This window comes from Homo sapiens, chromosome 5 (genome assembly GCF_000001405.40).
Source record: "Homo sapiens chromosome 5, GRCh38.p14 Primary Assembly".
In the NCBI taxonomy this organism is placed as follows: domain Eukaryota; kingdom Metazoa; phylum Chordata; class Mammalia; order Primates; family Hominidae; genus Homo; species Homo sapiens.
The window spans coordinates 148,062,993-148,082,196 of NC_000005.10; the positions used below are offsets into that span (position 1 = coordinate 148,062,993).

At 33.0% G+C, this 19,204-nt stretch overlaps 1 protein-coding gene across 5 annotated transcripts in view; it reads left to right on the plus strand.

Moving 5' to 3' along the window:
• Positions 988-19,204, plus strand: part of SPINK5 (serine peptidase inhibitor Kazal type 5) — a 73,403-nt gene continuing 55,186 nt past the window's right edge. For 3 of the 5 annotated variants that reach the window (NM_001127698.2, NM_006846.4, NM_001127699.2), the window contains exons 1-4: positions 988-1,107; positions 2,355-2,380; positions 7,331-7,458; positions 9,156-9,228. In NM_001127698.2, the coding sequence (NP_001121170.1) occupies positions 1,053-1,107; positions 2,355-2,380; positions 7,331-7,458; positions 9,156-9,228 (282 nt within the window). In that variant the 5' untranslated portion in view covers positions 988-1,052. Of the gene's footprint in view, positions 1,108-2,354; positions 2,381-2,414; positions 2,484-7,330; positions 7,459-9,155; positions 9,229-19,204 lie in introns of those variants that run through there. The other 2 variants (XM_047416662.1, XM_011537551.3) reach the window with 2 other exon arrangements.

Below are 19,204 nucleotides of genomic sequence, written 5' to 3' on the forward strand. Positions count from 1 at the left end.
GAAGAAACTTTCTCTAGAAAAATGTTACATTTACACATTTATAATTGTTAACAACTTTTTTCTTCTTTTCTTTTTGGGAGACTAAATAATGGGATGATACAGGAAGAAATATGATTTAGAGAAAACTGATTGAGCCAAATTTTTCAAACGGTAATATGGGTAATCATAGGCTATGGAAAGTTAAACTGAGTCTCCAATGTTTATGATTATGATGTTTGGCTAGGATATAAAATAAGGCTTCAGAATATAAAATATCCTGCAGATTGAGAAGTTTTAAAAGTAGTTACATACAAGTTTTATTTTTCCAACGTTCCTGCCTTTTCTAATGTCTAAGGATGAAGCAGTGTACAGAGAGGAAAGAATGTTATATGTGTGGTCTGCTTGCAAGTGCTGGATGCCTCCTCTGCCTGCTCCAACTAAACTGTCTGCTTATGAGAAAGTCATTGCTCCTCTGAGTTCCTGCCTCCCTATATATTCAACATTAGAATTTTGCCAGGTTATCTTTTAGGGTCGTTCAACTCTAACATATATATGAGTCTGTGACACTGAACTCAGACACTTCAGAACAGGAACCCTGGATTTCTCTGGATGTGGAAATCTTTAAATCTATACCTGACTGGTAGGACAACCAATCTGTCTTCCTTTCCTCTCCTCTCCCACTTATGAAGGGAGTCCAGTCAGAAACATGTTTGTCTACGAGGTAGTATATCTGGTATTTCTGAGGAATTCGGTTATTATATAGGATTATAGAATATTCAACTTTGAGTAGGGTCTGTGGACTCCATCAATTGCGTTCTGGGGGAGGTACCATGAAAGAACATTCCTACTTTAGAAATAGATATTCTCTGTTCAAACCTGACACCCTGACAGGATCCTAAAGGATGGAAGCTAAAGTGGTGTGGTATATAAGTCCCATGACCTTGAACAACTGGTTTTATGTGGGTGTCACCAGTGCTTTATAAAAGTAAACTGCATCGCCCCGAGTTCAGTCATACTGCACCAGCTGAGCAATGCATGGAGTGGACCTGTAGGCGACTTGCATCGTCTTCAACATGAAGATAGCCACAGTGTCAGTGCTTCTGCCCTTGGCTCTTTGCCTCATACAAGGTGAGCAATTTGTGTGTAATCTAAGCCTCTTGCCACACATCTCAAAGCCCTGGGGAAGGGACTTTTCTCCCCCTACTCCTGCCAAAAAATGTTTACGTATGCATGTATAATCCTGAAATGTCTTGCCAGACACAGAGTTCTGAAGATTTATATATGTGGCTTTATAATTATGTTGTTATCTTTAGAAATGGCAAGTAGTTTGAGATAATCTGAATTTTCTAACCATGAGAAATTCTTCCATTAATTCTTTATTAATTCAGAAAACTGAATAGATTCTTCTTCATCTTCCTCTTGCTAAATGTATCAATTCATAATGCATATTCTTATATATGTAATAGACATTTAAAACTTAATTGTAAATAATATATGTATTTTAATGTTATAGGTATAAATGAAATATTTTTTAAAATTCAATCATCTGTTCTTATTTTAAAGCAGTGGTATCTTCTAGCTTATTTTAGTCTTGTGTTTTCAAATGCTAAATGGGTTGAAAGCATTTCTCCCAAAGAGTGAGGGACTTTTGTGGGAGCTGGAAGGTAGATTTTTATATTTGCTATTTAACCCTAAGAGAACACAAATTGCCTAGACTTACGTTGCTCTGAAACATTAAAATTTTTAAAAAGAGAAACTCATAGATAGTCTGAAATCATATACAAATAATGCCCATTTTCCTAAAATAGGTGTGTAGGTACAAAAGAGCCTATGTTAATGAGAGAGTATAATAGCCTGTGACCTTAATCTTACCTTCTGTCAGATCTCTAACTTTTGCAGCTGTAATAAGGAGGTAGAGCTGCCAGAATTCAGAAAATTAAATTTTATGTATATATCCTATAAATGTAATGCTATATTATAGTTTCAACTATAATATAGTTTCAAAATTATAATTGGTATAGTATTTTGTGTGTATGTTATATTGTAATTTTAAAAGGGAGGCTGGCATTTATTACTCCGAAAGGACCTTTTGAAGATAAGCTATTTTGATGGGGTTAGAATTCACATGAGTATTATTTTCCAAAGTAATTGTAACTTTCTGAGTGATTAGACCTTTGTGAGTATATATACTAATCTCCTGGTCCAGTGCCCTTCTTTTATTTGCCATGATAAATCTTAATGTGTTCAAAAACCATTTGCGGTTTTACAACATATTGTCATTAAAGCAATCAAGATGCTGCATTAAATGGATTATTTGTTTTGTTTATTAAATATTTTACATTTCCTTAACTTTGGTTTCTATATTTTCATCCCAGATGCTGCCAGTAAGAATGAAGATCAGGTTAGTCCTGCTTTTTCTGTTCATTGAATTCATTCCAAGATTCCCAAAGAAAAGTGGTTTGTGGCCAACACCTTCATGTTAATAATACAAACATATTATACTGGTAGGTACTAATAGCTTTTGTTAAAAACACAGAAACAGATTTTTATGAATCAGGACATGAGCCTCTCTCTCACACACACACACACACACACACACACTCAACATATTAATGATGATGGATGTCTGCAAGAGGCAATTTATCATGTTAAAGGAGCATTTTAAAATTTCATAAACAAAAAATAAATCAACTGGAAAACTACTATTGTTCCATTTAACATCTCAACAAGCCATGATACACCACATAGGAAGCTGAAATAAATTTTCTAGTAATCATTATGCAAAAGAGGGTGGTCTGTATCTTGTATATAGTCGGTGTATATAGTTCATGTAATGAATATTTATTGAGCATCTCTTAGATGTCAGACCCTGTTTGAGATGCTGGGGTTATTTTTAAGTAAACAAAATAGATGAAATTCCTGCCCTGAAAATTACGTTTTAGTGTAGGAAAACAGACAAATTAATAAGTAGCTTAGCAAAACATATGGTACGTTAAATAATGATAAATGCTAGGAGAAAAATAAATCAGGAGGCATAATAGGATCCCTGAGAATGGAGGTGGTATCCATTCTCATAAGGATAATCAGGGAAGTTCTCTCTGGACAGACAGTATTAGAATAGGAATCTGAAGGTCATAAGGGAATGAACCACGAAGGTATTTGCAGTTTACAGCAGGCCAGACAGAAGCACCTGTGAGCGCAGAGGCCCTGACGCAAGAAGGTGCTTTACCAACTCTTAAACCTCTTTTGTTTGATAAATTAAAAAATCATTTTCTACTAGAAGTTAAATTTTTTAATCTATTTGAAAGATAGGATGACCAATTACTCACACACACACATTTTATATATTTATATACACACACACTGCTATGCATGCTATTAATTCAGCACTTAAAGCACAATCTTAAATGTTTTGCTGAATATGTGGCAAAATTTGTTTTATCTCTGGCCACGAACATTAAAGGAATAAAAATGTGAAACAGCTATTCTTTACGTTGAAACTCTGAGAACCATGGTTAAAATACTCTCTTGCCGTATTTTGTTGCAATGATTTTTTTTAAAGAAACTTCTTACATGAGTGTTCTAGAGAATTTTATCATGTTCTCTACTATTTCATCTAAGTTTACTGATAGGGAGAGGTCCAGAAAGTTCAGTAGAGTAGAAAATAAGCTAGACATTTGGGAATCAGAGAGCATGCTCACTTGGAAGTTTTATACTGGGAAAAAAGAAGGATATTATATAAATATCATTGTGTATAAAACCATCATTTTCTTTTTCAGAGTCCGTGATGATGGTTGGTGATTTATGGCAGATACTGTGAATTTTACACTGCTATTTTTCATAGCATTAACCTCTATTTCACTGAAAAATATTTTAAAAACAAATTTAGTGACTTCTTATATTTGGTATTAAAGGCAAGAACACAAAGAAGTAATTATTTATTTGGAAGCCTTTCTAATCAGAGTTTTTGGATACTGTGTCAGAAATGAAAACTATTGATGTAGTCTTTTTTACGATGCTGTGATTTTGGTTATTTTCCAAGTTTAGTAGCTTGGGTTCCTTTCAGCATGATAAAAGCATGTTAAATGTCATAAACATGAACCTAAACAGCAGGGAAAAGCACTGCAGCAATCTGCAAGGATCTTAAGCATGCTTAAATTTGTCATCACCTAAGAGTCATTCTTCAGGCAAAAGCAAGCTGGTCAGTGCTCTAACACTGAGATAGGGCAATGGCAGCTCCTGGAGGGTTTTATTATAATATCTGGAGATGGACAATAGAAGACAACAAATTAGGCCTCAGCCAGTGAGGGAAACAGGAAGAACTTGGCCCTAGAGGGCTCCAGTTTTCCTGGGACATGCTGAGAAAAAGAGAATAACAGCAACAGTAACAAAACAAAACAAAAACAGGCCAGGGACTGGAAGTTACCCTGCAAGTAAACAGGTGCTGAAAAGTCATCTACTCAACTCAGGATGACTTTTGGTCTAAATATGCTTCTGTTTCAACCCTCTCTATTATGGTCATTGAAAGGGTATTCCATTTTGCTCAGAGAAAAACTCAACTGCTGCTTTCCATTTTTATGGTCTTTTCCTGTTTCCCAAGAGAATACATTGGATAATTTCATAACTCAGAAAAATAGCATTGAATCTCATCTTAACTAATTAATCACTGTGAACAAATTTCTTAACCTATTATTTGGGCCTCTGATGCTCAGTTTGTAAGAAAGGGAGTCTTTCTAGGAATTAAGTTCTCATCTAACAGTGATATTGGAGAAGTCCAATTTAGGGATTATTCTTATTGATGCAACTCTTTAATTTTTCTTATAAGTAGAGACAAGGTCTCATTATATTTCCCAGGAGGATCTTGAACTTCTGGCTTCAAGCAATCCTCCTCCCTTTGCATCCAAAATTGCTGAGTTACAGCCATGAGCCACTGCACCTGGCCTGATGCTACTCTTTTATGATAAGCTTTCAAAATTATTTAGAGCTTTATTCCAGGATTATCATGAGTCGTCTATATACTTTCTATAAGACTTACTTAATAAGGGATATATTTTCATTACAAAGACCCCAGGCTCTTCTCTGATTCTACTATATGGATTTTAGGATCAATTATATTCATCAAGGTAAGCATAACTTGCAAAGTTGGCATTTGATACTGTAGAATCAGAGATCAGACAGGTCTCAAGATGCCCAGTTATTAATCTGTGTCCAGAAATTACTACTCTGCTACTCTGATGGAGTCACTGTGTAGCTATAATAATCTTAGAGATATTTAAGCATGCCATCCTTAGCTAAATTTCCCAGGGCTGGTCTGTGATATCGTTTAGTTATTCTCCTTCACCATTAATCATTTTGCAAGTGCTACCAACTGCCTACCATTTTTAAGAGGCTAGATTAAGTACATCATTATTCATCCAGGCAAGTATACTTCTGTTCTACCTAATGCTGTATCTATGTCACCTAGCAAAGTATAGTAATCCAATAATAAGTGATTGCTGGCTCATTCAATGATGATCATAAAGATATAGGAGACTACTGGAGTTCAAGACCAGCCTGGGCGATGTAGTGAGACCCTGCCTCTCCAAAAAAAAAAAAAAAAAAAAAAAAAAAGAAAGAAAGAAAGAAAGAAAAAACAAGCACAAAACACCAGATATAGATATAGGAGCCTAAATAGAAACCTTTAATAAATTTTTTGGAACAGGTTGTGTTTGTCAGAGTTGAAGCAAAAGCTTTGTTTATTTGTTTCCTGATACAAGCAACTTGAAGCAGATTAAAAAAAATCAAAACAAAAAACAACAAAAATCCCCTTAGATTCCAAAGGCCTATTCTAAAGACCTAGTGAATTTTCACTGGGTACAGTGGCTCATGCTTGTAATTCCAGCACTTTGGGAGGCTGAGGCAGGTGTATCATTTGAGGTCAGGAGTTCGAGATCAGCCTGCCCAACATGGTGAAATCCCATCTCTGCTAAAAATACAAAAATTACCTAGATGTGGTAGCATGCACCTGTAATCCCAGCTACTCAGGGGGCTCAGGCAGGACAACCTCTTGAACCTGGGAGGTAGAGGTTGCAGTGAGCCAAGATCATGCCACTGCACTCCAGCCTGGGCGATAGAGCAAGACTCCATCTAAAGATAAATAAATACCTAGTGAATTTTCTAAATTAAAAGGGAATATAACATTTTAAAATCATACTTTACTAGGTAGCAGAAATGCACCATATTTTAAGCTCCTAAAAAAGAATGAGTGATGTATAGCAGGACTTTAATAATAATATTTAATATTATTTATTAATATTTAATATTGAATGAATCAAAGAATTACCACTTTTGAAGATCATTCTACTTTCCTTTTCCCCACCAATTCTATTATTTAAAATGTTTCCCCTGTCCTCCTTAAACTTTGTATAACGGAGTTATTGGTATTTACAAAACCAAAAGCCCAAAACAAACATAGTAGGATTTTAGTTCCAAGGGATGTGCCAAAAAAAAAATTACCAGAGAGAGAGAGAAAGAGAGAGAAAGAGAGAGAAAGCCTTATGCAATTATTGAGAAATTTCCTCAGTACTTCCATAGATTCACAAGGTTTGATTCTGATGGTAGTGATAGTAGTGCTGATGACATTTGTGGGGATGGTGGTGGGGGTGGAAGTATGGGTACTTTCTAAAAAATATAATACAAATTTGAAAATGCAAAATGGTTAGGCCTCTCCCAGAACCTCGGAAGGGGGATGTGACAGTGAAGGGCCCTGAATCTTAAGCTTTATTAGCTTTAAGGTAAGTCTGCCTGTGCTCATAAGTCAAATGATTTATCAAGGGACATGAAGTTCTTTTCAGAAAATAAACCAGTCTAGAAACTTGTTTTCCAGATAAATATAACCAAGAAATCCTTTTTTCATTTAACACTGTTAAAATTTCTAGGAACTGATATGTTGCAGTACAGCCATGGGGAAATGTAGGCAGACATTTTATAATGTTCAATGCTCAAACACCTTGCCTCAGTCCTTCAGCAACATTTTCATATTCCTTTCACAGCAATTACTATTGGCCTACTGTGTACTAGGTATTTTATATGTGTCATCTTAGCATATTCCAGTAATAATACTGACAATCACCAGCAACATCAAAACAATAATAATAAAAAAGGAGGAAGAAGGAAGGAGGATAATTTATTAATTGAATATCTACTATGTATCAGGCATTCTTTGAGGGCTTTACATACTTAATCTTCAAAAAACCTTGGAATTGTGTGTGTATATATATGCAGACATATACATATATCTACATATATATATCAAAATAAAGCTTGTTTTGATGTACTTTTAGCTAACACAACTTTTTTGGCATTATCTTAGGAAATGTGCCATGAATTTCAGGCATTTATGAAAAATGGAAAACTGTTCTGTCCCCAGGATAAGAAATTTTTTCAAAGTCTTGATGGAATAATGTTCATCAATAAATGTGCCACGTGCAAAATGATACTGTGAGTAAAGGTTTCTTTCTTTCTTTCCAATGTTTGAGTTAACAGCTAGTCTCTGAACTGGTAAATGTATTCTTTTTCTTTCAAGTGCATTTTTCTAAACCGAAATGGTTAAATAAAAGTGCTGAGCAGATCACTCTGACATTTCCCATCAGATAAAGTTGGATAATTACCACCCACCTGGAAAGATTTTAATAATCACTCAAACAAGATTCTGAAAGCATTCCAGAGGGCCCAGTGTCAATACCTTCTGTAGCACTCTATAGTCTTTTGAGGATGTAGTTCCACTTTGAACTTCCTGGTTTTGGAAAAAAATGAATTTGACAAAGAAAGTCAGATTCCTTGGGCCTGTTAAGACCTGATTCTGTTGCAGCCTAGGGACTGAGAAGATTGGCTTAAGCATAATGCCAGACTCTCCCGTGACAGCCAACCAGCAGAAGGACTTAAGCAAGGTATACCCTGATTCTGTGAGCTGCCAGTGTCTTTAGACACCTAGCATTATTCTAGGATGAGATGAACTAAAGGGTAGATTATAGTTTCCAACTCCTTGCAGCTCAGAAAGAATTAGTATCCTGGAAGTTTACCAATCTCTATTCAATGCTTCTTAACTTGGTTTCCTTCTCTCCATTGTCACCCCAAAGGTAAAAGAAGGCTTGGGTTATCAATTGCAAATCCTCAAACCAGAATGTCCTAATTTGTTTTTGAAAAGGAAGGTTAGCCTCAATTTCTGACCACTGTCAAAACTTCAACAGTGGTAGCAAGCCAATACTGAGCTTACCCACTTAGGATAATTATATTACAATTGGCTTTTTAAATGTCAGGTTGGTGTGTGTCACAGGATTTAATTTGGGGATTGACGTAGTCAATCATATTGGGATAATGAAGCTCAGATCGTTTGATCATGCACTGCTTCTAGTGAAGAGACTGTGAGACTATAAAGAAGCCAGGACAAGATTTAATAGAGGATGGGAGGCCTAGGGCAGGTTGAATAATTCTTTCTTTTTTTGAAAGCTGAATGTAAACCAGCAGGTATATTATTTATTATAAAATTTTCTTCTTGTTTCATAAGATGTTTTAATATGAGACTGAAAGTATGAATATAATAAATTTACTGAAAAATAATGTAAAACAAAAATGAAATGCCTTAAGAGTCTAAAGACAGTTTATCATTTTGAAGTTATTCAATTATTATTTTTATGACTTACGTAAATTATGTTAGAATAAAATTTTTTTTTTTACCTGGAAAGAAGGAGGCTGTGCAAAGCATAAAAGCTGTCATCAGATTCCTAAAGAACTGGCTTATGGAAAAGAAAATTGATTTGCTCTGTGGGTCCCTAGATGTTGGAATTAGAACCAATATAAGCAGGTTCAATGTGAATATTCTCTTTCAAAAACTGCATTCAAAAAATGGTGCAGATAGCTTTGAGAGTTGGTGACCACCTGGCTGTTGGAAGTATTCCAGGAAGGTAGTCTGTTATGCAGTTAAAGTTAGAGATTCTTCCTATAATACCATGTTCGAGATATTTTTCAATGTTGAAGGGAGATCTGGGGTTCTGTGTCCACTTCTGAACATGCTACCAATTTTGACATGCCAGGCTAGGCTGAGGAGAGCAGTTAAAATTAAGTTTACCATGTTAGCTGTTATTGTTAAAAGTTGAGCAAACAATGTTTAAACTATGCTATTTCTTGTCCTTTTCCAGGGAAAAAGAAGCAAAATCACAGAAGAGGGCCAGGCATTTAGCAAGAGCTCCCAAGGCTACTGCCCCAACAGAGGTGAGACTATTTGGAGCCAACCTGTTTACTTTTGAGAGGATGTTTGACTCTATTTAGAGCTATCTGTTTATTCCTTAATTACTAGGTCATACCTGTTTTGAAGCCAACAACTTAGGAGGGAGGGAACATGGGTTAGTCCAGGGGTGGGCTAAATATCTGGTACATCTTGTCCATAGGCCCAACCCATGATCCGACTCTAAAAACATTTTAGGCACTGACGGAAACTAAGAGGTGGAGTGAGCCAGTGTGATGTCTGCCTTCCAAGGCCATCATTTCTCATTCCTCTTGTCCTGTCTTAGCCCAAAGAAGAGCTTTCCTGGGACTGTAGAACTAAGTTCAAATCTTAGAATTCTTATTGCTTGTGTAACTTAGAAAATTTATGTATCTCTGGATCTCAATGTTTTCATCTGTAAAATGAGTTTTAGACCGAATAGAAACTAAGTTTTAAAAGCCGGTCTCAGGGTTTAACATGTTCTAGCAGGCATTTGACTCATTCTGTTTCCTTTTTCTTTTACTCTTTTGCTTTTTACTGTATATGTTCCAGTACCTGGAGGGTCCTCCTAATTCAACTATAGTTGCTTGTTTATATCTATTTTGCAGACAGGGACTCAGGCTAATATTTTGTTTAAGAAAAGTGTTCTCTGGTAAAAAAAAAAAAAGGTCATAAAACATTAAGAAGTAAGATAGAAGGAAGGAAAGAAACTGCAAATTTATCCTACTATATAAACCATTTCACTTGATAATTTTTTTCACTTAGAAACATTTTTAAAATCTTTACAAAATTATAAAAATAAAATTTAAAAAATAAAAATTTGGGGTCCAGATTGGTGGAAATATATATCTAGCCTACAATATCTCACAAATGGGTTACTGACAAAGCTGGGACTACCACCAGCTATTCTAACCACTACTCACATCACCCCAGGTCTCCTATGCAGTTTCTTCACTAATTTCCACTTTCTTTTCCTTCTCTGCTGGCCCCAACACGTAATTAAAATAATCAGTCAAGGTTAGTACACCTTAATTACTTATAACATCCATGGTCTAACAACGCTGACATCTTCCTTGGCAGTGTTAGCCAAGAACATCTGAGAACCTCAGCCTCCACAGTAAACATAGTCTACTAAATTATTTGCCTGGGCTCAACCAGTCTCACTTTTAAAACAATAACAGACACCACAAAATTGATCCATAATTGAAAACTCTTTATCTGTAGCAAAAGAGAGCTACTTTTATATTCTACAAAATCTGTGGGGGCCAGAAAGGTTTAGTGGCAACTTTATATGTGTCTTATTTGTCACATTCAAAGAGTGGCTCACTTTCTAACATCCATTCTCCTCTTCCTCCTCTGTCTTCATCATAAAAAAATGATATATCTATAGTGTTTAAAAATATAAAATATGAGGAAATGACAAAAAAGCAAAATACACACAAACATACCAATTTTAACAAACCTATCTAAAAAATATAGCTAGTTAGATGTTTCCATATGTAGACACAAATTTATTGAAGTTTAATAAAGTAGGAGTTTTAAAAAATAAAATTACAGTCTTAAGAAATAAAATTACTTTTTGTTAATATATTATGCCTGAGTCACACACACACACACACACACACACACACACACACACACACACACACAAAACTGTAAAAAAAAAAAAAACCCTCTAGATAAAACTCTTAATAGCGATGTGGTTCACTACTTAGGAAACTACTTACATAACCAAGTAGTAACTTACATTAAGTTAAGGCAGTTAACATTTGGCTGTGTGCCTTTCAAATAAGTTCTGTCTAAATTTTTCCTTGTCTCTGTATTTAAAAGGATTCATCCAATTATACCATGTGTTTTTTGTTGTTGTTGTTTTTCTCTCCACTATAAAACAGAACAATGTGCTGATTTTTTCTGCTTAGACTCCGCCCATCAGAAATCAACCCTGCTACTCCCTCTCAGAATAAGGTGCTCTGCATTTCAAGGAGTTTCCTCCTACAGACATCCTCTCACTCTCTCTTTCATCACTAATTTTCTTTTCACTAGTATGTCATCCTTTCATTTCCCGACTCTAGTATTCCCTCCATTAACAAGTCTTGTTGGTACTGCCTCCAAAGTCTAACTCCTTTTCTCCATTTCCATCCCTACCATCTCAATCCAGTCATCCATAATTTCTGATCTCTGGTGTTTTGGTACATGTAAAGACTTGTTTTTTTAATTGATGAATTCATTCATTCAATGTTTATCATGATTTAGGTTGCCAACTTTATAGAATATTAAGTTCACACGAGTCTGTGTGTTTCTGAGGTCCCTCTTTTTTCAGATTCATTTATTGCTTTAATAACTAGTATGGTAAGTCCCCCTTCTTAGTTCATGTTGTTAAAGGTTGATGGGACCTATGCATAGATATATGGTTTCCATATACATGTTAGAGATAAAAATAACTGAGTTTATAAAAACTTCATCTTGAATTTGGTAACCCAGTGTGTTTATGGATACAAAGAATTTGTAAATTAATTGGGGTAAAATTGACTTTTTACAGTATTAATTTTCTAAACTCATGAGCATAGAATAGTTTATGAATAAGTCATATAATTTTGATCTACTTTATAAAATTTACAAAATATTCAGATTTTTATAATTTTTGTTAATATTTTTAAAATGTGTAAATTTATTACTATTTTGAATATATTTTGTTTTTTATTGTGTTTTATCTGTTTATTGTTGATATAGACAAATTCTATTGATTTCTTCAGGTTAATCTTATGTCAGACAACTTTTGTTTTTGTTCTTGGTAGTTGATCATATTACCTACATATAACAAGAGTTTTATAATATTCCTTTCAATCTTAGCACATCTTTCTTTCTTTTCTTATATAATTGGTAAAGGATCCAGACTTCAATAGTTAAACACTAGTGATGGTAATGAACATCAAATAATCCCCTTGTCTCTTCATATTAAAGGGAATACCTCTAAAGTTTCTCCATTGAATGTAATATTTATCATAGCGGTTTTTACCTCTACACTTCAGCAAGTTTGGAAAATTCCTTTCTATTTTTAGTTTGCTGAATATGTGTTGCTTATTATTAAAAGTCTTCTTTGCAACTATTAAAATAATTTGATTTTTTAGTCTATTAATATAAATAAATTTCTGGATATATTTCTTAATATTAAACTATTATTATTTTCTTAGAGTAAATCATACTTTATAATATATTTTAAATAAATTTATGAATTTGGATACTAATATCTTAATTAGAAAATTTGCAATTATGTTCTTAAGTAAGGTGAATCTCCACTTTTATCTTTTAAATAATTCTTATCTGGCTTGGGAATTTACATAAAATTATCCTAAGGTGTGACACTTTAGACTCTGACTAAATCAGGTGGTCAGCAGATCCTCTCCTCAGAAAGCAACTATAAAGCTAGACAAAATTGACCAAAAACCATTTTAGCAATCTGAAAATTGATCAGCAGTCTATACCAATCTGAGAAGCATTTATCTTGAAAAACTGCTGACTTTAGGAATAAAACGAGAGGTCTGTGATGTTCTTGCTCAGGGATATTCCCATTTCATCCCCTGGCTTGGTTGGCATGGAGGTTCTATACAGGGTACAAAGGTCAGCAAAGGCATTGCCATTGTTGAAGAAGGCTAACCTAATTTGGAGTAACGAGCAAAAGTCATACCCAGAGGTGTTTTCAGTGTAAGTGATAATCTTCACCAAGGGTAAGGAAAATGGTCTGAGGTTGCAGTCATAATTGAAGCAAGTGTATTCCTGGCTGAGCCTTCACACGTAGTTGAAAGAGCCCAAAGAGGGTCAAGAGATTCGCAAACTCCTAACTGACTATAAAGCTGCGCATATCCGCTTAATAAACACAAAATGTCCCAGTGAGAAGCAAATGCTGGAGTAGATGCAAAAGTGGCCTGAACTTTGCATGCCCTCCCCTGTACACAAAGGTCTATCTGAGAGGGTGAAAGCATTGTTAGCTTGAAGTATTTGAACACAAACTGTGTTAAATCCTTAGCTGACCATTAAACTACAAAAACATAGGGGAAAAACATAGGAAGCCAGGCTTAAAAAATAACCATGATAGAAACTATCATTTTCTTAGCTGCACATCAGCAGCTGCAATTATGAGAGAGGAAGATTTCAAAGATTTAATCCAGCCACAGAAGCAAAAAAAGAATAAAAAAGCAGTGAAAATAATCTTTAAAGAAAAAATTGTAAACCTGAGTACCTATATTATCTAAAATGTTGTTTTTATAATCAAAATGTTCAGTTTTTATAATCCACGTTAGTGAGGTTAAAAAAATGTCAGTTTTCACCAAAAGTTATAAAATTTTCAAAGTAACAAGAATATACAACCCATACTCAAGAAAAATAATTAATGGAGTTTGTCTTTAACTGTGTACAGATGTTAGATGTGGCAGACAAAGACTTGAAGCAACTATTAAAAATGTATTCAGGATACTAAAAAAAATCATGTTTGAGGGTTCACAAGAAAGTATAATAACAATGAATAAGCCGATAAAAACTTTCAATGAAAAGACAGAATAATTTTTAAAAAGACCCAATGAAAATTCTGGAGTTGAAGGGCACAATAACTGAAATGAAAAGTTCAGTAGAGAGGCTCAGAAGCAGATTTGTGAATCCTTAAAAAAGGGAATTACCAAACTTGAGGAAAGCTTAATAAAAACTAACAATGGAAATACAGAGACAGACAATAGAGAAGAAAAATGAACAAAATTATACACTTTTTGAGACAGCAGCAAGAAAGCCAACATATGCATAATGGGAATACCACAAATAGAGGTGAGAGAAAAAGGAATACAAAAATTATTTGAAGAAACAATGGCCTAAGATGCCTTAAATTTGATGGAAAAAAATTAATTTTAACATTTAAGAAACTCAATACACCCCAAATAGGATAAATATGAAGAGATCCACATATGGCTCATCATGATTAAAATGTTGAAATAAAAAAAAAAAACAAAGAGAAAATTTAGAAAGTGGCAAGAGAAAAATGACACATCCTATATACAGGCTGTATACAATTAAAAGCTGGCCCCTCATCTAAAATAATGAAGGCCGGAAGGCAGTAAAATGACATGTTCAGAATGCTGAAAGAAAAAAAAGATTAAGCAATATTCTATATTCTCAAAAGCTATCCTACAAAAATTAAAACAAAATAAAGATATTACTGTACTAAAGAAATCTGAGAGACTTTGTTGTTAACACAACTACCTTAAAAATAATAATGAAGGAGGTCATTTAGCTGAAAGGAAATAACTACCAGATGGTAGCTTGGACCTACAGACAGAAATGAAAAGCACCAGAAATAGTGAAAATTGAGTTAATCTCTTAGCCTTTTTAAAAGAAATAATCTTAATATATAAGGCAACAATTATAATGCTGTTTTATCAGGTATATATATATATATATATATATGACAACAATAGCATAAAGGGTGATAGAGAAAATAAAGCTTTATTAAGGCAAAGTTTCTCTATTTTACCAGGATTAAGTATTATTCTGAAGTGGTTTGTAATAAATTAAGGTGCATATTGTAATTACTAGAGTAGCTACTAAGAAAATAGCATATATAATAAATATATAACATCAACAAAGGAATTATAAAGGTGTACTAGAAATATTTAACCCAAAACAAGATGGTAGTAGAACAGAGAAGCAAAAAAAGACAAAAGCATATTGAAAACAAATAGAAAAGTAGAAATGTAAATACAACCATAAAAGTGATTATATTAAACATAAATGGTTTAAACATCCCAATCAAAATGCAGAAATTGTCAAATGATAACAAAGGAACTATAAGCTATCTCCAGTAGGTGCTCCTTAGATTCAAAGACACAAATAGTTGAAATGATAACAGATCGGTACCATGCTAAGTTTAACCGTAAGAGAGCAGGATTGGCTATATTAATATGTGATAAAATAGACATTAAGACATTATTAGAGACAAATAGGGATATTTTGTAACTTTAAAAGTGTCAATACGTTAAGCAATATAACAATGATAAATGTATACACACCTAATAGAGGCTCCAAATTTATATAACAAAAAATGCTATAATTAAAAGAAATGAAAAGAAATGAAGAATTCAAAAATAATCGTTAGGAATTTCAATACTCCACTTAAAATACTGATAGAACAGCTAGACTAAATATGACCAAATAGAATACTTGAAGAATACTATCAACTAATTCAACCTAAACTGAAATATAGACAGTGCTTCTCCGTTGATTGTAGAATATGTATTATTTTAAAGCAACAGAGGAACATTTTCAGGATACACTATATACTAAGGTACAAACATAATAAATTTTAATATATTAAAATCATATATAGTATTTTTTTTTAACCACAACAGAGTTGAATTCAAACCCAGCAAGGAAAATGAATCGTGAAAATCCCCAAATCTTTAGAAATTAGGCAACACACTTCTGGATAATTGGTGGGTTAAAGAAACAATCTTGAGAGAAATTGGAAAATAATTTGAATTGAATGAAAACAAAAAGACAACAATTTAAGACTTACTGGACTTGTCTAAAGCACTTTCTAGAGATTTAAATGGCTTAATCAGAAATAAGAGATAGGATTCAATAATTTAATCCTCTACCTTGAGAATATTAGAAAACAAAGTTTAGCAAACTAAACCCAAAGCAAGCAGAAGAAGAAACATATAAGGATTGGAGCAGAAATTAGTAAAACACAAAACATACAAATAATAGAAAAAATTAATAAAACCAATGTTGGTTCTTTGAAAAGATCAACAAACCTGACAAACCCTTAGTTTTATTTTCCCTTCAAGAAAAGAACAGAAGACAAACATTACCAAAATCAAGAGTGAAATAGGAGACATCAGTATGTGCCCTGGAGAAACTACAAGGCTTATGATGAATATTATGAAAAATATTATGCCACCACATTAAATAACTTAGATGAAATAGAAAAATTCCTAGAAATAACCAAATTATTGAAAATTGACCCAAGAAGAAATGGAAAATCATAATAGACTTACAGCATAAGTAAAGACATTGAATCAGTAATTAAATTTAAAAAAATGCCCAAGAGCAGATGACTTTATTGGCAATTTCCATTATATACTGAAAGGAGAAATAATATGAATTCTTTACAGATTCATTCAGGAAGAAGAGACACTTTACAGCTCATTATATCAGTCCAGCATTATTCTGATACAAAATGTAGAAGACATCACAAAAGCAGAAAACTACTGACAAATATTCCTCATAAACATAGACAGAAAAATCCTTAACAAGACACTGGCTGGCAAATGAATCTGCAATATGAAAAAAATAAATCATTACCAAATAAGAATTATCCCAAGAAAGCAATGTTGGTTTGGGAACAGAAAATCTATTAGTCTAATACACAATATTAACAGAATAAAGGGCAAAACCACATGATTATCTTAATAGATGTTGAAAAATCACTTATTAAAATCCAGCACTCATTCAAGATGAAAACTCACACAAAATATTATCAATAGAAGTAAGCTTTTTCAGTCTGATAAAGAACGTCTGTGAAAAACCTACAACTAACATTATAATTAATGGTTAGAGAATGAATGCTTTGCCCTTAGGATTGAGAAGAAAGCAAAGGGTGGTTTACTGTCACCACTCCTATTCAACATTGTACTGGAGGTTCTTAGCCAGTATAAGGCAAAATTAATTAATTAATTAATTAAAGACACTTTTTATTGGAAATGAAGCAACTGTCTTTAATTCCAAAACATGATACCATATATGAAAAGTTCTAGGGATCCACAAAAAGAAAAATTACTAGAACTAATAAATGAGTTTAGTAAGATTTCGGTGTGCAAGATTAATAATACAAAATTGTATTTCTATATACTAGCAATGAACAATTTGAAAATTAAAATATTTCATTCACGATAGCATAAAAAATGTGGAAATGAATTTAACAAAATGAGTACAAGACTTATACACTAAAAACTATAAAATGGTACTGAGAAAAATGAAAGATCCAAATAACTAGTGAGATAAATAGTCCATGTTCATAGATGAGAAAACTCAATATTGTTGAGATGGCAATTTTCCCAATATTAATCAATAAATTAAACATATTCCCAATCAAAATCTTGTCAGTCTTTCTTTTTGGTAGAAATAGAGCAGTTGATCCTACTAGTTATATAAAAAATATTGAGACATTTAACAGTAACTGAATTTAAATTTTGTTATAATGCAATAGTGATCATAACAGCGTGCCGTTATTTCAAGATAGGCATAAAGATCAGGGGAATAGAATAGGGATTACTTACTTTTATGGTCAGTTAATGTTTAACCAACATGTCAAGGTAATGCTGAGAAAATTGAATATAATTAATTTTAAAAAACAGTTTTATCTTATACCATACACAAAAGTTAACTTAAATTTTATTTTGGCACTAAATGTAAAAGCTAAATATATGAAACTTCTCATGTAAAATATAGGAGGAAAAAAATTCATGAACTTGGGTAGGTAGAGTGACTTTAGACATAAAACTAAAAGCGTAATCCATGAATACAAAATTAATAAACTGAAATTTATAAAAATTGCAAATTTGTGTGCTTCAAATGACAACAAGAAGTCAATGAAAAAGCAAGTTATAGACTGGGAGAAAAATAGTCACAACCTATATAGCAGGTAAGGACTTAAATCCACAAAACATAAAAACCTCTTACAACCTTATTATAAGGAGACAATTCAATTAAGTATAGATATTACACCAAAGATATATGAATGGCTAATAAGCACACAACAAGATGCGCAACACCGTTATTATTTAGGCAAATGCTAATTAAAACCACAATGGTGTATCACTACACGTACCCACTAGAATGATTATAATCACAAAGACAGAAAATGCAAAATGTTAAGGGTGTGGAGAAACTGGAACACATATAGTCAGATCGGGGTAATATACAAGGTTACAGCCATATTGGAACACAGTTTGAGAACTTCTTAAAATTTTAAACAGATTGACCATGTGATCCAGAAAATTCAGTCCTAGGAATTCAGTGAAGTGAAAATACAGGTCCATAGAAAGTCAGGCATGTGAATATTTATAGCAACAATGTTTTTAATAGTTCTAAACTAAAAACAATCCAAATGTCCAAATGTCCACTGGTGAATTGATAAACAAAAGGAATATATTTATACAGTGAAATATTATTCAACAATTAGAAGGGATGTGCTACTGACAATTTTGCAATATGGATGAACTTCAAAAACACTATGCAAAGTGAAAGAAGCTAGAATTAAACAATTACATATTTATAATTCCATTTATATGAAATGTCCAAAAAGGGCAAATTTACAGAGTCAGAAAAATGTTTAATGATTGCTTGAAGCTGGAGGTGGGGGCTGGATATACTGTACACAAGCACAGGGGAATCTCGTAGGGTGATGAAAATATTTTAAGACCAGATTCTGGCGATGGCTGTACAACTCTTTCCATTTACTAAAAATCACTGAATCACTTTCAATGGGTGAATTTTATAGTATATAACTAATACCTCAATAAAGCTGTTTAGAATTTTATTTTTCAGTTCATATGATTGTAACTGCTTTGGAATGATTTGTACATTACTATTATTTAATACAAAATTTCCTAGACCTTCAGAAAAATAGATTATAAAGCTATTGGGACTGAGTTATTTTGGGGTGGGAATATCTCAGACCAATATATCAATTGGATTAATGTTTATTGACCTGTGTAACAAATGTAGTTATCTTATACTTTTTCATAGTCATATATGCAATTTGGTTTTTGTAATGTATTAGCATACTGATACTGATGAAATGCTTTCATCGTATTAATGTCTCAATATTTATATGGTAGTTTTTAATTATCATTCCATATATTTTTACTTTTCATATTACTTGTCTCTTTGGTCAGTCCTACTAGAAATCTTTTATATCAGGTTGTTTGATAATATACT